The sequence below is a fragment of the Homo sapiens genome, chromosome 15 (assembly GCF_000001405.40).
Source record: "Homo sapiens chromosome 15, GRCh38.p14 Primary Assembly".
Classification (NCBI taxonomy): domain Eukaryota; kingdom Metazoa; phylum Chordata; class Mammalia; order Primates; family Hominidae; genus Homo; species Homo sapiens.
The window spans coordinates 67,141,639-67,156,709 of record NC_000015.10 but is presented as its reverse complement, the minus strand read 5'-3'; the positions used below and the strand labels follow the sequence as shown (position 1 = coordinate 67,156,709).

At 45.3% G+C, this 15,071-nt stretch overlaps 1 protein-coding gene and 1 long non-coding RNA gene across 10 annotated transcripts in view, besides 7 other annotated features; one reads left to right on the top strand and one right to left on the bottom strand.

The window, feature by feature from the left end:
• Positions 1–15,071, bottom strand: part of SMAD3 (SMAD family member 3) — a 129,568-nt gene that overhangs the window by 38,460 nt on the left and 76,037 nt on the right. The gene's annotated exons all lie outside the window — the stretch shown is intronic.
• Positions 2,091–2,260: an enhancer, noted in NCBI's record as "experimental_40600 CRE fragment used in MPRA reporter constructs". NCBI's record gives its function as "activates a minimal promoter by MPRAs in K562 erythroleukemia cells, with activity observed for both the introgressed and non-introgressed 15:67446873 variant alleles {active_cell/tissue: K562}" and the evidence as "EXISTENCE:reporter gene assay evidence [ECO:0000049][PMID:34662402]".
• Positions 3,263–3,432: an enhancer, noted in NCBI's record as "experimental_40599 CRE fragment used in MPRA reporter constructs". NCBI's record gives its function as "activates a minimal promoter by MPRAs in K562 erythroleukemia cells, with activity observed for the non-introgressed 15:67445701 variant allele {active_cell/tissue: K562}" and the evidence as "EXISTENCE:reporter gene assay evidence [ECO:0000049][PMID:34662402]".
• Positions 5,956–6,763: an enhancer, noted in NCBI's record as "NANOG-H3K27ac hESC enhancer chr15:67442285-67443092 (GRCh37/hg19 assembly coordinates)". NCBI's record gives its function as "activates a minimal SCP1, AML or CMV promoter by ChIP-STARR-seq in primed H9 embryonic stem cells {active_cell/tissue: H9 hESC(primed)}" and the evidence as "EXISTENCE:reporter gene assay evidence [ECO:0000049][PMID:30033119]".
• Positions 7,571–8,378: an enhancer, noted in NCBI's record as "NANOG-H3K27ac-H3K4me1 hESC enhancer chr15:67440670-67441477 (GRCh37/hg19 assembly coordinates)". NCBI's record gives its function as "activates a minimal SCP1, AML or CMV promoter by ChIP-STARR-seq in naive H9 embryonic stem cells {active_cell/tissue: H9 hESC(naive)}" and the evidence as "EXISTENCE:reporter gene assay evidence [ECO:0000049][PMID:30033119]".
• Positions 8,757–9,691: an enhancer, noted in NCBI's record as "H3K27ac-H3K4me1 hESC enhancer chr15:67439357-67440291 (GRCh37/hg19 assembly coordinates)". NCBI's record gives its function as "activates a minimal SCP1, AML or CMV promoter by ChIP-STARR-seq in primed H9 embryonic stem cells {active_cell/tissue: H9 hESC(primed)}" and the evidence as "EXISTENCE:reporter gene assay evidence [ECO:0000049][PMID:30033119]".
• Positions 9,385–9,679: an enhancer, noted in NCBI's record as "tiled region #2708; HepG2 Activating DNase matched - State 5:Enh". NCBI's record gives its function as "activates a minimal TATA promoter and a strong SV40 promoter by Sharpr-MPRA in HepG2 cells {active_cell/tissue: HepG2}" and the evidence as "EXISTENCE:reporter gene assay evidence [ECO:0000049][PMID:27701403]".
• Positions 9,692–10,627: an enhancer, noted in NCBI's record as "H3K27ac-H3K4me1 hESC enhancer chr15:67438421-67439356 (GRCh37/hg19 assembly coordinates)". NCBI's record gives its function as "activates a minimal SCP1, AML or CMV promoter by ChIP-STARR-seq in primed H9 embryonic stem cells {active_cell/tissue: H9 hESC(primed)}" and the evidence as "EXISTENCE:reporter gene assay evidence [ECO:0000049][PMID:30033119]".
• SMAD3-AS1 (SMAD3 antisense RNA 1) lies at positions 9,771–13,976 on the top strand. The gene is made up of 3 exons (NR_186224.1): positions 9,771–9,798; positions 10,569–10,659; positions 13,624–13,976. It is a non-coding gene; the product is annotated as an SMAD3 antisense RNA 1 (long non-coding RNA).

The window sequence follows — 15,071 nt, the reverse complement described above, 5'->3', positions numbered from 1 at the left end:
ACCACAGAAGCATGAGTGAGCATAAACAATGGATTTAAGCTGCTGGGTTTTTAGAGTGCTTTGTTACGCAACACTAGCTGACTGATGCACTGACTCCACCACCAGTTTTCCCAATTAACTTGCAGGTATCATTATCTCCATACATGGATTGAGAAACAGAGCACCTGAGAGGTTACCCAACTTTCCTAACTTTTCCCAGAGTTAATATAAAGTGAAGCTAGGCTGCATGACTCAGATTCTTTTCCCTAATTCTAAATGGGGCATACCCCTATGCCCAGATCTTGAAGCTGGATAAGACTTAACCATTTCAGAAGGACAACCTACCTAGAGGCCTTAGAGTCAATTTGCATAAAATGTGAACTTACCCCCAAATACTCCTCTAATATTCATTTTTTGAAGTAGCCCCAAGTAGCACATTAATAACTCAAAAACCAAACCTACGGCATACATTTCACCTCCATTTATTCTGTATCTTTACATTTCCCATCTGCTATGTTTAATGGACAAAAAGGAGCTGTTTTAGATCTTGGGGTTGCCAATGAATGCCCTGAACCCACACTGGTACATACACACATGTTCCCAGAACATACATGCTGCAGCAGATATATGCCCATCTGCCCTCAGAGTTTCATATCCTCCCCATCTCTTTCCCTTTGAACAGCAATCAAGCTACCCTACTATCCCCGTGTTCACTCACCTGCAATTACATTTTTTTTTTTTTTTGAGATGGAGTTTCGCTCTTGTCACCCAAGCTGGAGTGCAATGGCACGATCTTGGCTCACTGCAACCTCTGCCCCCGGGTTCAAGCGATTCTCCTGCCTCAGCCTCCTGAGTAGCTGGGATTATAGGTGCGCACCACCACACCCGGCTAAATTTTTGTATTTTTAGTAGAGATGGGGTTTCACCGTGTTGGCCAGGCTGGTCTTGAACTCCTGACCTGTGATCAACCCAACTCAGCCTCCCAAAGTGCTGGGATTACAGGCGTGAGCCACCGCGACTGGCCCAAAAATCTTTACTTAAATTTTGCATTCTACGTGGGTTTTCCTTTTCTTTTTTTCTGGTTCAAAATAAAAGCAAGACTTGAGTGACTTCAAGTTTGGGTGAAGTGCTCATTCCATCGGACCTTCTGGGAAGGCAGAAAAAAATTCTGCTTGTGGCTTGAAAGTCTCCTTGCATCGGTTCCATTTGGCCTTTGAACTATAAGCTCACCCTGAGAGCTCTCTTTCTGCTGCTCTTTAATACGCAAGTATTAGAACATGCCTTTATTTCTTCCATGCAATGGACCGCCCCAGGACAACTGCTTAATAAAGGAACAAATAAGAAAGCCCTGAAAACACCATCTGCCAAGAGGGATGTTTGATTTGGGGGTTCACTTATTCCCTTTGGTACACACAGTCAAATCCAAAGCATCCTTTGTTCTGGGCAGAGGTTCTTCAGGGAGTTATGAGCCCAGTCCCCTGGGTGTATGTGACAAACCACAGAGGCCCAATGTTCAGAAAACAAAATGTCCTGGTGAGGCGACACTGGCTAACTCTATGTCTGCCTGAAAACTCACTTTGGAGAACTGTGACAGCTGACCCTTGAGGAACCTTGAGGGCATCTGGTCCAATCCCTTCATTTTGGGGTTGAGGAAACAGACTCTGATGCATTAAGATCCTTGTTCAAGGTCACTCAGCAAATTACTGCAGTGTGAGAAGGAGTCCTCACAATTGCCTCTTTCCTTGCAACCAAGCTGGTATTGCCAGCCTTCTTCCAATGACGTGTGTAAAACACATGTGCGTCTACTTGCCTGCTTTGGTAGGTTAAGAACAGCAAGACAATTTTTTCTTTGTTGTATTGAATCTTAAGTTGTCTGAAGGTCTTTAAGATGACAAGTGTTTTTAATTTTTTTTTAAAAAAAGGGACTGAGCAGTTGTTGACTCTGGTTGAAAGACATATAATTTGATTATATTACGATTAGTAGTAGTATAAAAAATTAGCCTATAATTGTAATTTTCTGAAGCTTGGAATCAAAGAGTTACAAACAGAACTCAGGATGTACACTGAATATACTACACCCTGGCATTTTCAAAGATTTTTAAAACTGTTGTTGTTTATTTAAACTCCATTTCCAACATTAGCCTGTTCTTTTCATTTGGTGCCACAAAGACATCTAGTGAGGTCAAGTATGTGGTTGGCCAGGTTCTAGATAATTGAGGTCTCACTGCAAGTTCTACCACAGTGACCATGTGCTCTGCCTGTAGCTGAGTTTCCTGAGTGTTCCCAACAAGTTCTGTAAGTGTGCTAAGCATGTTTTTGAATGTTCCAGTTTAGATTGGACATGAAGAGCTGAAAACAGGATTTCATAACCCTTGATACCAGTCACTAAAACATTTCCACCAAGAACAACTCAATTTTCATCTGAACTTATAAATGGACAATATCTAGTGCTTTGGGCATGAATGCTGCCAGTCTAGGGGGAAACCAAATAAAATGCCAGGCTGCAGCCCCCTATGCCATCCTCCAGACCAGCAGCTGGCCTCTTCTTCACTTCTTCCCATTATATTTAGTCCTCTCTTTCCCTCTGCTAGTTCTCCAGAGCAGCCGGCTCAGGTCCATGACAAGTGCCCCAGGCAGATGGGGCAACCTGGGCAGGAGCCACAGAGGTTGCAGAAGGCTCCTGGGCAGATCCTTGGAGGGGGAAGCCAAGAAACACCTTGCCTTATCCTTGGGAGGGCTGGACTCCACTGGAAACACACAAAGATCGCCTAGACCTTGGGCTATCCCACCTCCCAAGGGCCATGGGTGGGCACAGAATTTGTACTTTCTGGAAAAGAAGAAGGTTGGTTACTGGAGAAAGTTCAGCCTGATGATAATTATCTGTAAAGCACGCAGACACCAAGAACTTTTCAACATCAGGCTATGGATTTGGCGAGGCCCAGAGTTTCTCAACGTTGGCACTACTGATGTTTTGGGCTAATCTTTGTTGGGGCTAGGGGGCTGTCCTGTGTAGAGACAGATATAGAATGCTTAACAGCATGTCTGGCTCCCTCACACTGGATGCCGGTAGCTGTGACCCACCTGCAGCTGTGACAACTGAAAAAAAATACCTCTAAACATTGCCAAATGTCCCCTGGGGGGCAAATCTGCTCTCTTCCCTCCCCTTGAGATCCCCCTGGGCTAAGGAAATGCTCTGAGATGAGCAAGATGCGGGAAAACAGAAGGAATCCCCCCCGCCCGCCCCCCAAGACGGAGTTTTGCTCTTGTTGCCCAGGCTGGAGTACAGCGGAGTGATCTTGGCTCACTGCAACCTCCAGTTCAGGTGATTCTCCTGCCTCAGCCTTCTGCGTAGCTGGGATTACAGGCATGCACCACCACGCCTGGCTAATTTTTGCATGTTTAGTAGAGACGGGGTTTCACAATATTGGCCAGGCTGGTCTCAAACGCCTGACCTCAGGTGATCCACCTGCCCCAGCCTCCCAAAGTGCTTGGATTACAGGCGTGAGCCACTGCACCTGGCCAAACAGAAGCAATTTACACCTCAGAGCAAGCGTTTACCCAGCACTTCTCACTCAGTAACTCACTGGATAAAGGGATCCTGCAGGCTGAGTATCTCATCACTCCCATTTTACAGATGAAAAATTTTTGATGCTGAGTGACTTGCCCAAAGTCACCCAGCAAGGAACAGTGCCTGGGCTTGAACCTAGATGTTACACTCCAAACTCAGTTCTCTATGACTACAAAGCACACTGGGTTTAAATCAGCAGAGATTCTCTTTTGGCTGTGGTGAGAGCCCCTCCCTTCCCCCATGCAAAGAAGACGGTTAAATATTGAAGGAGGAGGAGGAGGAGAGTGTTTAGGGCTTTTCTATTTAATAGCTTTGGTCTTCACAAACTTTTTTCTCCAAGCACCAAGTTGATGGGGATTGCTTTTTCTTGAGTGTCAGCAGGATCATAGAACTTTCAAGTCACAAATAAAAGATGCTACAAAGATCTGGGTTGGTCTGTGACTACTGGAAGAAAGGGAAAAGTTGCCAGGCTTCACAGAATCTTCTGGGTGGCCATTTCACTCTGCTGAAAATTAGGCCTGACAATGGTTTATGTTTTTTTAAGAGATCACTCATGGACCCATTCAGCATACTCACAGCCCTTGGCAACGTTCTGATGGGCTTAAGGCAACAGTGGACTTCACCTCAGCTTTCATTAAAATCCCTCACCCCCAAAAGCTGACCTCCAACAATACAGGAAGCTTGAAATGGAGTAAGTCACAAAGCCAGGTGTGTTTAGACCCATCTTCTCATTCTGGGTGATCTGGGCCTCTCGCTCGGCAGCAGGCCTGTTCATGTAGCCAACACTTAGAGTCTTCTCTGTTTCCAAACTACTTTGGGGAATCAAATTAATTTGCATTGTCAGTTTGAGGGAGAAGAAAATAACCCATAGGACAGAAAGGATTCCTTCATTCTACGACAACATGATGTTCCATTTGGTGGAAACAAAAATGAGTATTTAGGTAAAAACATTTATCAGCCCCAAAACTCTAACTTTGTAAAAACAGAATAGAAGATACTAGAGGCTGAAAAGTGTAAAGGGAACAGAGGGATGGGGAGAAATTTGTTAAAGGTCTCAAAATTACAGCTAAAGAGGAAAAATCAGTTCTAGTGTCCTAAACCACTGTAAGATGATTATACTTAACAATAATATATTATATAGCTTCAAATATCTAGCAATCATATATTACAATATTATTATTACATAGTTTACAATTATTATGTAATATATGATTGTTACTATGTATAATCATATATTACATAGTTTCAAATAGGAGAATATTGAATGCTTATATAGTAACATACATAGTAACATTCATATATTACATAGTTTCAAATAGAAGGAGGATATTGAATGCTTCCAACCCAAAGAAATGATAAATGCTTGACAGGATGGAGATGCTAATTAACCTGATGTGATCACCATAATGACATTAATATGTATCAAAACATCACTATGTATCCCATGAATATGGACAATTATTTGTCAATTTAAAAAAATCAAATATTTTTCAAAAACTCTAACTTTAGAGGGAAAGGAAAAAGGGAAAATAGCCTGGGTGCAATGGCTCATGCTTGTAATCCCAGCACTTTGCGAGGCTGAGGTGGGTGGATTACAAGGTCAGGAGTTCGAGACCAGCCTGGCCAACATAGTGAAACCCTGTCTCTACTAAAAATACAAAAATTAGCCGGGCATGGTGGCGCAAGCCTGTAGTCCCAGCTACTCAGGAGGCTGAGGCAGGAGAATCGCTTGAACCCAGGAGGTGGAGGTTGCAGTGAGCCGAGATTGTGCCACTGCACTCCAGCCTGGGCAACAGAGAGAGACTCCGTCTCAAAATAAATAAATAAATAAATAAATAAAAGGGAAAATGGGGAGAAAGAGCTATTGGAGACTGTGAGATAATGGTCTCATCTTAGACCCTCTTCTCCAAAGAAAAGAAAACAGGCTTAGAGGTGGCAAGGTAGAACTGAAACACAAATCTGGGCCTTCCACTAATATATGAATGTCTTAAGACTGAGATATAAGGCCTGGCGTGGTGGCTCACGTCTGTAATCCCAGCACTCTGGGTAGCCAAGGTGGGCAGATCACCTGAGGTCAGGAGTTCCAAGACCAACCTGGCCAACATGGTGAAACCCCGTCTCTACTAAAAATACAAAAAAATTAGCCAGGCATGGTGGTGGGCACCTGTAATCCCAGCTACTGGGGAGGCTGAGGCAAGAGAATCACTTGAACCTGGGAGGTGGAGGTTGCAGTGAGCCGAGATTGTGCCACTGCACTCTAGCCTGGGCGACAGAGAGAGACTCCATCTCAAAAAAAAAAAAAAAAAAAAAAAAAAGACTGAGAAATAGCTTTGCTCTCTTAATAAAAAAAAAAAAAAAAAAAAAGCAGGACATGGAAAAGTCCCCTCCCCTGACAACTGCAATTTCTCAAGTCTTATCTGCCGGCAAACCTCACTATTAGTTCAACTTCACAAAACAAACAATTCTTATTACAGGACTCTTAGTCATTCTGTTTTTCACTTTCTTCCACAGAGCAGAAGCCATTAGGTCTGGGTATCCTCTCTCTGCCCTCTTTTCCCAGACCTGGTTCCCAGCCTCCCGCCTCCTGCAGTCAGGTCTGCCCGAATCGGAGCACCATGAATCACTTCCTGTGGGCAGACTGCACGCTTGGGGGTGGGATTTACTTTCTTTCTTTCTTTCTTTTTTTTCCTGGAAAAGATTCTCACAGACTTTTGGGGTAAAACAAGTGGAACCAGGCGATGATAACTGGCGGCCTTGTTCTATCAAAACAAATCTTAAAGTTTCCAAAGACTTAGAGAAAATGTCAGGCGGGCATTCCTGACTGGGGGCGGGGGTTGGGGAGAGGTGAAGAGGGCAAATGAGGAGGTTTTGTGTTAATTGCACAGTTTTGACTTCCTTAATTATGAGTCACCGGCTAGAGAGATAAAACAATGTCACAAGTGCTGCATAACATGCAACGGGTCAACCGGGCGACTCAGTGACATTCACGCGGAGAGGCAGTGCCTCAGGACAAGCGCTCACTCCAGTGATTTTACAACAATTCCTAGCAAATGTCACACAGTATGGTTGGGACATTTACAACCATCTCAGTCTTATGACATTTACAACTCAGTCTCTTCTTTTTAAAAGAAGCCCCAAAGCCTTCAGGATTTGCAAACCTTTCAGTTAGCCACTGTTGGGTATGAATGGGGAGCTGGAAGTAAAGGAAGGGTGGGAAATGACCATGTTTCTTGAAAAAGTTAGTTTAAGGACCATGGAGGTAAAGAGGTACCTTTACATGCAAAAAATGCAGCATTTGCATGACAGCAATTGCTAACGTTCCATACACATTCTCTTGCTTTCTGAACCAAAGCTTTACAAGCTTATATAAGCAGTTTCCATCCCAAATGGTAACAAAGAATGGGTGCCCTGTATATTCTGGCATCTGTACCCTGAGGACAGTTAAGTGGCCAATTAGCATTCCTTTCTGTCTAAGGGTACAGACCTCCTATTGTACCTAAAAAAAAAAAGGTTCTGGTTCATTGGGGCAATTCACCTAAGACAGCAAAGAACCCCTATGGGCAGGAAAACAGGAATTCCACACAAGCAAGAAAGGAGGACTTCAGAGAAGCCAGGCCCACACTTAACAATGTCAGGGTGGCAACAGCCCTCCTCGATTAAGCCGGCCTCATCAACTAAGTGGCCCTTGTCTGAAAGCTGCATCCCTAAAACAGCTACAATCAGGAACAAGCAAAGGGTTCCAGGTGAGGCGTCCTCCCGCTGGGTCCTAGATACTTACAACTCTCCCCGGTATCAGCCCACCCAGTCCCAGCTGAGATTCAGAGCACCTGCCCACCCACCACCTCACCCCCACTTCCTAGACAGGCCTAATTTACAGGCATAGAAACTCAAAATGCTGAACAGGCCCAAGTAGTGGAGGTAAAATGTTGCAGCCACAGTATCTGAATGTGAGGCTCCTGCACTCTTGGCCACCAGCATAGTGCGCTGAGGTGCAGGTGGGGACAGAGCCCTTGGAGGTCCAATTATCTTCCAGCTCAAACAGTAACCCACTCTGTGGCTCTCTGCTAAGAATGACCTCTCTCCATCCTCCCCTCCTCGAACTCTTACAGTCCACCATCCCCACTGTCCCACACTCTTCAAATTCATCATCATTTAGCACCAAAGGCCTGGTATGATGAAGTGACTTCTGTGTGTTTCTGACTTCCCTTCCCAACTGTGCCAGGAGCTCCTTGAGGGAAAGGAAACCTAGCTTAACTTTGCCTGCATCCTGGATGGAGCGAGGGGCTTGCAGGTCACATTTGCTCAGAAAATAGTAATGGTAATGGAATTATTAGCTGATAGCGTGCATCAGCAACTGGTAAGCTTCATAGTACCTTTCAGAAGACGTAGGAAATAAGCAAAGATCTCAGGCTGCCCACCAGCCTTGTGAACCCGATCAAGAAGTCAAGCCTCATAGCAAAGGGATCCACAGACGCACATTACTGCCATGGGCCCAATACCAGAAATGTTCTTTAAGCAATCAGCTGGTCTTGAGAGGTGCAATTAAAAACAGCAGGGGAATGACAGCCACAGGTGCCAGTTAGGCGAAAGCAACCAGCGGGGAAGTGCAGGAAGCTAAAATGTTTTTGAATGAGGAAGCTCTGCCCACTTGCCATACCAGGGAGAGAGAGTCATCTGTGGCTAAGGTTGTAGGCAGACATTAAATACAGCGATTTGCAATAAACTTGCTCAACAAATATTTGTTAACTGGAGATTTTTATCAAGTGTTGGATTTAATAGAGGAGAAAGCACACAGATATATGGCCCACACTGGGGATGGACTGGAGCCCTGGCTGCTCATTAGATGACAGGGGTGTGTGTGGCCCTCCCTCTGGCTGTGCTACCGACTCATGGAGGAGTCTTTAGGTATGGATTATCTCATTTAAAAAATGATGGGTTCAACGGATCTCTAGTGTCTTCTCACCTTCTAGTACCTTCTAGCATTCCAAATACCTGTGAAATACACTAATTTGCAGGGGGAAGTGGCTTAAAGGTGTTCTGTGTCTACACTTCTCATTCCTTCAATGCTTTTAGGCACCTAGGGCCTTGGAGAAAACCTGAATCATAATATAGCAGCAGAGCAAATAAGTAATCAAAAATGTGGACTACCAACAAAAATTCCTCTTCCCTACTGTACATGGAGCAACAAACAGAAAGGATGAGAGAGAAAACTTCAGAACTTTGACTCTTTCTGCAGGTTAGAAGCAAACACAAAAGCCAAGTAAGCCCCAAACCCGACGCCAACATCAACTAAACAGTGGCAGTCGTAGCTGTCATGTGGGATATAAAGGAATTAAATTGATTTCAAACAACTTCCTGAGAGAGGAGGTTGCTTTAAACCAGAAAGGTGAGGGAGGCTGCAGAATTACTGACCTCAAAAATCAGAGGTCATGGAATGAATGAGACAGGTAGACAGGTTCCAGACATGCTCACATCTGTGGCTGGTAGAACTGGACCTGGACACGACACTGGGGCGGGGGCAGTGGAAGGGTGGTGTGCAAATGTCCTTTTGCAGAATATTCCAGCCTCAGAACCACAGGACTTTGGAGCTGGTGGGGGGCATTTCACCACCACCTTCTTTTCCCCCTGAACACGTGAGGAAACTGGGGCCCAGGAAAGGATGGCATTTACCCAGGGATCCTTCTGAGTGAGCTCCTATGTTGTTTTTTTTCTACTCCAGGAATCATGACCCCAAAACTATGGCCCCAAATAGAAAACTCAGCTGTCGGTGTAACTGAACAAAGAAGCTAACACCACAATAAAGGGCAGGAGCTTCCATCAAGAGCAGAAAGAACAGAGTGGTTTCTGTGGAGGAGCGGCTGTGCCTGGCATTTCCCACCCTGCACACACCCAGCTGTTGGGGCCACAGTCCACTGCAGCCTGTCTTTCAAGTCGGCCCGGCTGTCAAGCCTGGGCCCATCTCCCGGGCTCTGTAAACAGTTCTGGCTCTCTCTCTCTCTTCCCTCCTCTACTCTCAGAACACCACACATCACTGGGGCCTGGATTGTTTGGTAACAATGGAGGGGAACGTTAAACAAGAGTTGACGACGGGAAGTGAATCACTGAATTCTCAAACAGGCTCCGTGGAAGGAGCAAAGAACTGTGGGAGGGGCCCCTGGCAGGGCCTGGCGGGGTGCAGGGGAATCTTTGGAGGCTGCTCTCTTCTCACCCCGCCAAAGGACACCCTTTCAACTCTGCCTGGCTGTAACCAGGTAGCAGCTTCATATGTCAGGCCCCATCTAGCTCCCAAATCAACCCCGCTACTTCCGAGTTTCCCTGGTGTTCTCTGCTCCTTGGATTAAGCAGGAGGGAGAAATGGAGAAAGAGCCTTTTTTCTACAAACACTGACCCAACTTTGTCCCCATACACCTTAAAGTCTGACCCTGAAGAGGCAGCTACAGGCTCTAACAGAAGGAAAAGGCTCATTCTTCTCTCCCCGCTCAGGCATCAGCTACTTAAATGGAGATGTCCTCAAAGGAAAATATAAAACACAGAGACAATGTCTCTGTATGACCTGAGATTCCATATAAGTGTCTGAGAGAAGTCCCTCCCCGCTCCCCATCCCCGAACACACATTCCCTCTCCTAAGTCTGCACTGACTCCCACTCAACCCTGGTGCCATGGAACAGCCCCCTCCAGCCTCCACACTACCCGCTCTAGGCCGCACCTCCACTGACAGCTGCTCTGGCCACGTGCCCTGGGTCTATAACCTTCAAAGTCTGGTCTCTGGCAGGCTGTCACATTTTATTCAAATGATGTGTAGGCATACTCTCTGCTCCTCCAAAGAGCAGTTGATCATCCAGTCTGTGTTTACTACAGGCCTACTATGTGCAAGGCACTTGGTATCTCTGTCTTAACTTCCTTTGCAAAAAATCGAAGATTAATGGCTCAATCTAGGAAACATTTAAGATTCTATGTGCAGGAAGAACAGGGCTGGGCACCCCTTGGTATATGTAAATGTGTCCTCAGTTTTGCTTTATAGGATCTCTTTCCACAACTAGTTTTACCATGTCTACTTCAGCCTCATTAAGGAGTTAACACTGACCAGTTGCTTCCTAGAAGCAAGTTTTATGGTAAGCACTCTATATTTAAATACTTTAATCCTGTAGGACAGGGCCTCATCTTCCAAAAGATGACAATGAAGCTCAGAGAGGTTAGGAGTATTCCACAAGGTCACCCAGCAGGCAGGGGAGCAGAGCTGAACTCTGAACTCTAAACATTAAAGCCCAGCTTCTTCCCACTGTGTCAAGCTGTTGTTCTGCGTGCCCCAGCCGCCTTGCAGGGAGACACGGTGGAAACAACAGGAGACTGGAAATTGGGACTTGCATTGGAAAGCTGGCTCCTCTCCTTACCACCTGGGCCACCTCAGGTCAAGTGCCTCATCTCCGGGGGCCCATTTCCTCATTGGTATAAAGGGGCCATGTGGGAAGTGGTTCCTGTAGAGATTGCACATGTAGGCCCTTCATAAACCGGTAAGCGCCACACTGACATACAGTGTCACCCATAACCTTTCATTCACGAACCAGAAAATCCTGCCCAATGATGTTGCCGAACATCCACTCCTGAATTTTAACGTTATTACTGGAACAAGCTTGTGCAAGGTCAGGACACTGTAAGATGTCAGAACATTCTAGAAACATCATCTGGGAGAATTATTTTGTCTTTCTTTTCTGTTTTTTGTTTTTGTTTTTTAAATGGCACAGCATCCTTGAGCACAGAATGAGAGATTAACAATCTCTTTCCCAGGTCTATCAAATTTTGCCAAGCCTTCTTCAAACTCCCCCCTTCGTGGATTGTGAAAATGAAGGTCTAAAGCAGTGCCTGGGTTTCCCAAGTCCCAGCTGTGCTATGAGTGCTTATTCCTGAGTCACTCCTGCTTGCTGAGCCTCAGCTTCCTCACCTATAAAATGGGCAGGCTGGACCAGATATTTCCAAGGTCCCTTTTCTGACAGTCTTTGACTATTTATCAGAGGCTTACTGATTTTTCTTACACACAGTAAGAAGACTTCTTTCAGGAGAACGTGACTGAACAATGGATATGGAAAAGAGGGTACATTTCCAACTCCCCAGCAACACACTCCACCCTGGCTCTCTGGCTGGGGAAGAAATTCCCATGGCAACCCCCTACCCCCAACCCCTCCCTGTGCGCCTGGCTTTGTGAGGATGAGGGAATCCACAAGGCTAACTTCCTGCCTGCACTCCAGCCCCCATCACGCAATCCTCTGAGCAGGAATCAGAGAACCACAGCAACCGCAGCTCTGAGATTCCAGCCCCATGCCTGGCTGTGAAAAACCAAGGGCGTGGAAGGCATATCTGCTGTGACATTGTGCAAAACTGGAAACGTGCATCAGGCCACAAGCCTGTGGAAAGCAAGACCTCAACATTTTTGCAAAGACAGCATAACAGCTGTCTTTGTGTCTAAGAACACGGCAGCTCTATCACATGTAGGATATGGTGCACTAGTGCACTACTGATAGGCCCTCCTGAACACATCAACCACTGGCTAGGACAGGAACCTCTTCTGTGCCCTACAAGCACCATCAAGCCTGGCACATAGCAAACATGGTAGCAAACTATATTTATATAGTTAAATCACTATTTAACTCATTAAATCATTAATTACGTGGATTTTAGGGCCAAATGAATTCTAAACAAATTTCTTTCAAAGCACATTTTCAAAAACAAAATACTACTTCAGGAGAAACTTTTAAAATGAAAATAAATAATCCCTGAAGATCAACAACCCTCCCTTTATATCCACAAAAAGAAATATCACCCAACCACAAAAAGTCACTACTAAAACATGCAAAAAGATGGATGAATCTGAAAATAATTATGCTGCATTAAAAAAAATCAGACAAAAGTCATACATATAGTATGATTCCATTTATATAAAATTTTAGGAAATGCAAACTAATGTATAATAACAGCAGATCAGTGGATGCCTAGGGATGGGGGCAGCAGGCAAACAAGATGGTGAAATTGCAAAGAGGCAGGAGGAAAGTTTTAGAGGAGTGATGGACATGTTCATTATCTTGACTGGTGATGGTTTCATGGGCATATACAAATATCAAACTCATCAAATTGTACACATTAAATATGTGCCTTTTATTGCATATTACACCTCAATACAAACATTAAAGAAAAAAAAAAAAGGCAGGGCACAGTGGCTCATACCAGTAATCCCAGCACTCTGGGAGGCCAAAGCAGGCTGTACTCCCAGCTACTCAGGAGGCTGAGGCAGGAGAATCATGTGAACCCAGGAGGCGGAGGTTGCAGATCACATTATGATCTGTGTGTGGCGGCAGGAGCCGAGATCACACTATGCACTCTAGCCCAGGCGACAGTGCGAGACTCCATCTCAAAAAACAAAAACAAAAAAACTCCCTAGGCTGGGCACAGTGGCTAATGCCTGTAATCCCACCACTTTGGGAGGTCGAGGTGGGTGGATCACTTGAGGCCAGGAGTTCAAGACCAGCCTGGTCAACATGGTGAAAATGGTTTCTACTAAAAAGACAAAAATGAGCCAGGCGTAGTGGTGTATGCCTGTAGTCCCAGCTACTTGGGAGGCTGAGGCATGAGAATCACTTGAACCTGGGAGGCGGAGGTTCCAGTGAGCTGAGATCAGGCCACTGTACTCCAGCCTGGGCTACAGGGTGAGACTCTGCCTCCAAACAAACAACTCTAAAATTCTGATGGAAATATGGATTTGAAAATGAAAAAAGCAAGCAAAAGCCTAGACATATTTTGCTCCAATAGACTGTGTCAAAGGTGTCTGCCTTTGCTCACTGTATGACAAACTCTAAATACTAAAACATTAATGAGCTGCCTTAATATGTTCTAATACAGTGTGACAAATATGTACACTAAAGATTTCACTGAAAAGGTACTTATGGCATATCTGCCACAATAGTATCTTAGCTATTTAGTTCTTTGTGCAAAAAATAATCATACAGATCCATTACTGAATGACTTGAAAAGTACCATTCTGGCTGACATGCTCATAACAACTATTCATCATTGAAAAACCTTGACAGGCAAAGCATCCCAAGGTGGGTCACCGAATTTCAAGCTGGCATTAGAGAATCACAGGGCTGGTGCACGGAGAGCTGGCTCTCCAGCAAGGACGTCTGGCCTGGCCGGGAATGATTCATTGAGCAAAAGGACATGCCAGAGAAAATGAGGAGGATGTTCCAACCCAGGAGTGAGCCGACGGGTATGCAGAGGCTGGAGCTGTCTCCTGCACATGGGATCATGTCCCTGTGTTCCAGCTCTACATGGGGTGCCCACCAGCTGCCCCACAGGGCCCTTATCACAAACATCACAAGCCTATTTCACAAGCTCTTTTCTCCTTGAAATGTTGAGATCAATATATCTCCACTGTTACTTAGCACAGTGGTTTTTGAATGTCTTAAGATGCCAGCAGCCTCTGCCGTTACCAGGCCTCTGGACGCCTCTAGTCTAGCCTGTCATTCCAAAACAAACCAGATGTCCATTCTCTGTCTATCCAGAAGCCTGAGAATTGGGGGTGGGGTACAGATCAGGGGACATCATTTGGAAACCTCTTATCTAGGACACTGAGCAGAAAAAAGCACTTAACACACTTAAGACTGACACTAGGGGAGAAACAAAGGTGGGAGCAGCATTAACAAGGTGAAAAATAGAGTTTCGCCATTCCTGAAGGAAATGCTTTCCAACCCATTGGTGATTTGTCCTCAAAAGTTCTGCAGAAAGACCTAGTTTATTGCCAACAAAGCCCCGGGGTTGAGTGTTTCTAGTACAATTCCACGCAAACCATGGAGGTACAGTAAATGTTCACACATGGTGATGAATTCCTACTTCTGGCCAAGTGTACGGGGGAAAAAAAAAACCTAGCTATTAAACATTTGAACACTGACAGTTCTAGAAACAATGGTGGGGGGGGTGTGGGGAGGAGACACACAAAAGAATGAATATACCAAAAGGAAATTAAAATCTAACAGTTTAGGAAAGGGGGTAAAAGAGCGGGGGATGACAGATGAGCTGGTCCAGGCCCCAGCTCTTCACTGCCTCGCTACGTGGCCTTGAGCAAGTGACTTAAGCTCTCTGTGCCTTTGTTGACTGAACAAGCCTGTGAGGTTTGTATGATTGACCCTAATTTAAATTCGGAGAGCAGGAGAATGGAAAACATGAATGACACCTCACAGCATTAGAGAAGCCTTTATTCCCCCATACCACCCCACCTCATCCCCAGGCAAACTGAGTTGGCCTCAACTTAGAGTTTGTATCGGCTTTTCTGGGGCACTCAACCCCAAGTTCAGCTGCAGGAGGTAAGCCATGAACCAGAGCAGATTTAAGACTCAGGAGTCTAATGGGTGTATGGGGGGTGGACTCAAGGTATCGGACTTTCCAGGTAATGAAAAACAGCTCACAGATCATCTAGTCCAACAACCACAAGGTACAGAGCTCTGTTAGAAAGTTCTGCCATGTATGGAGCTGAATGGAG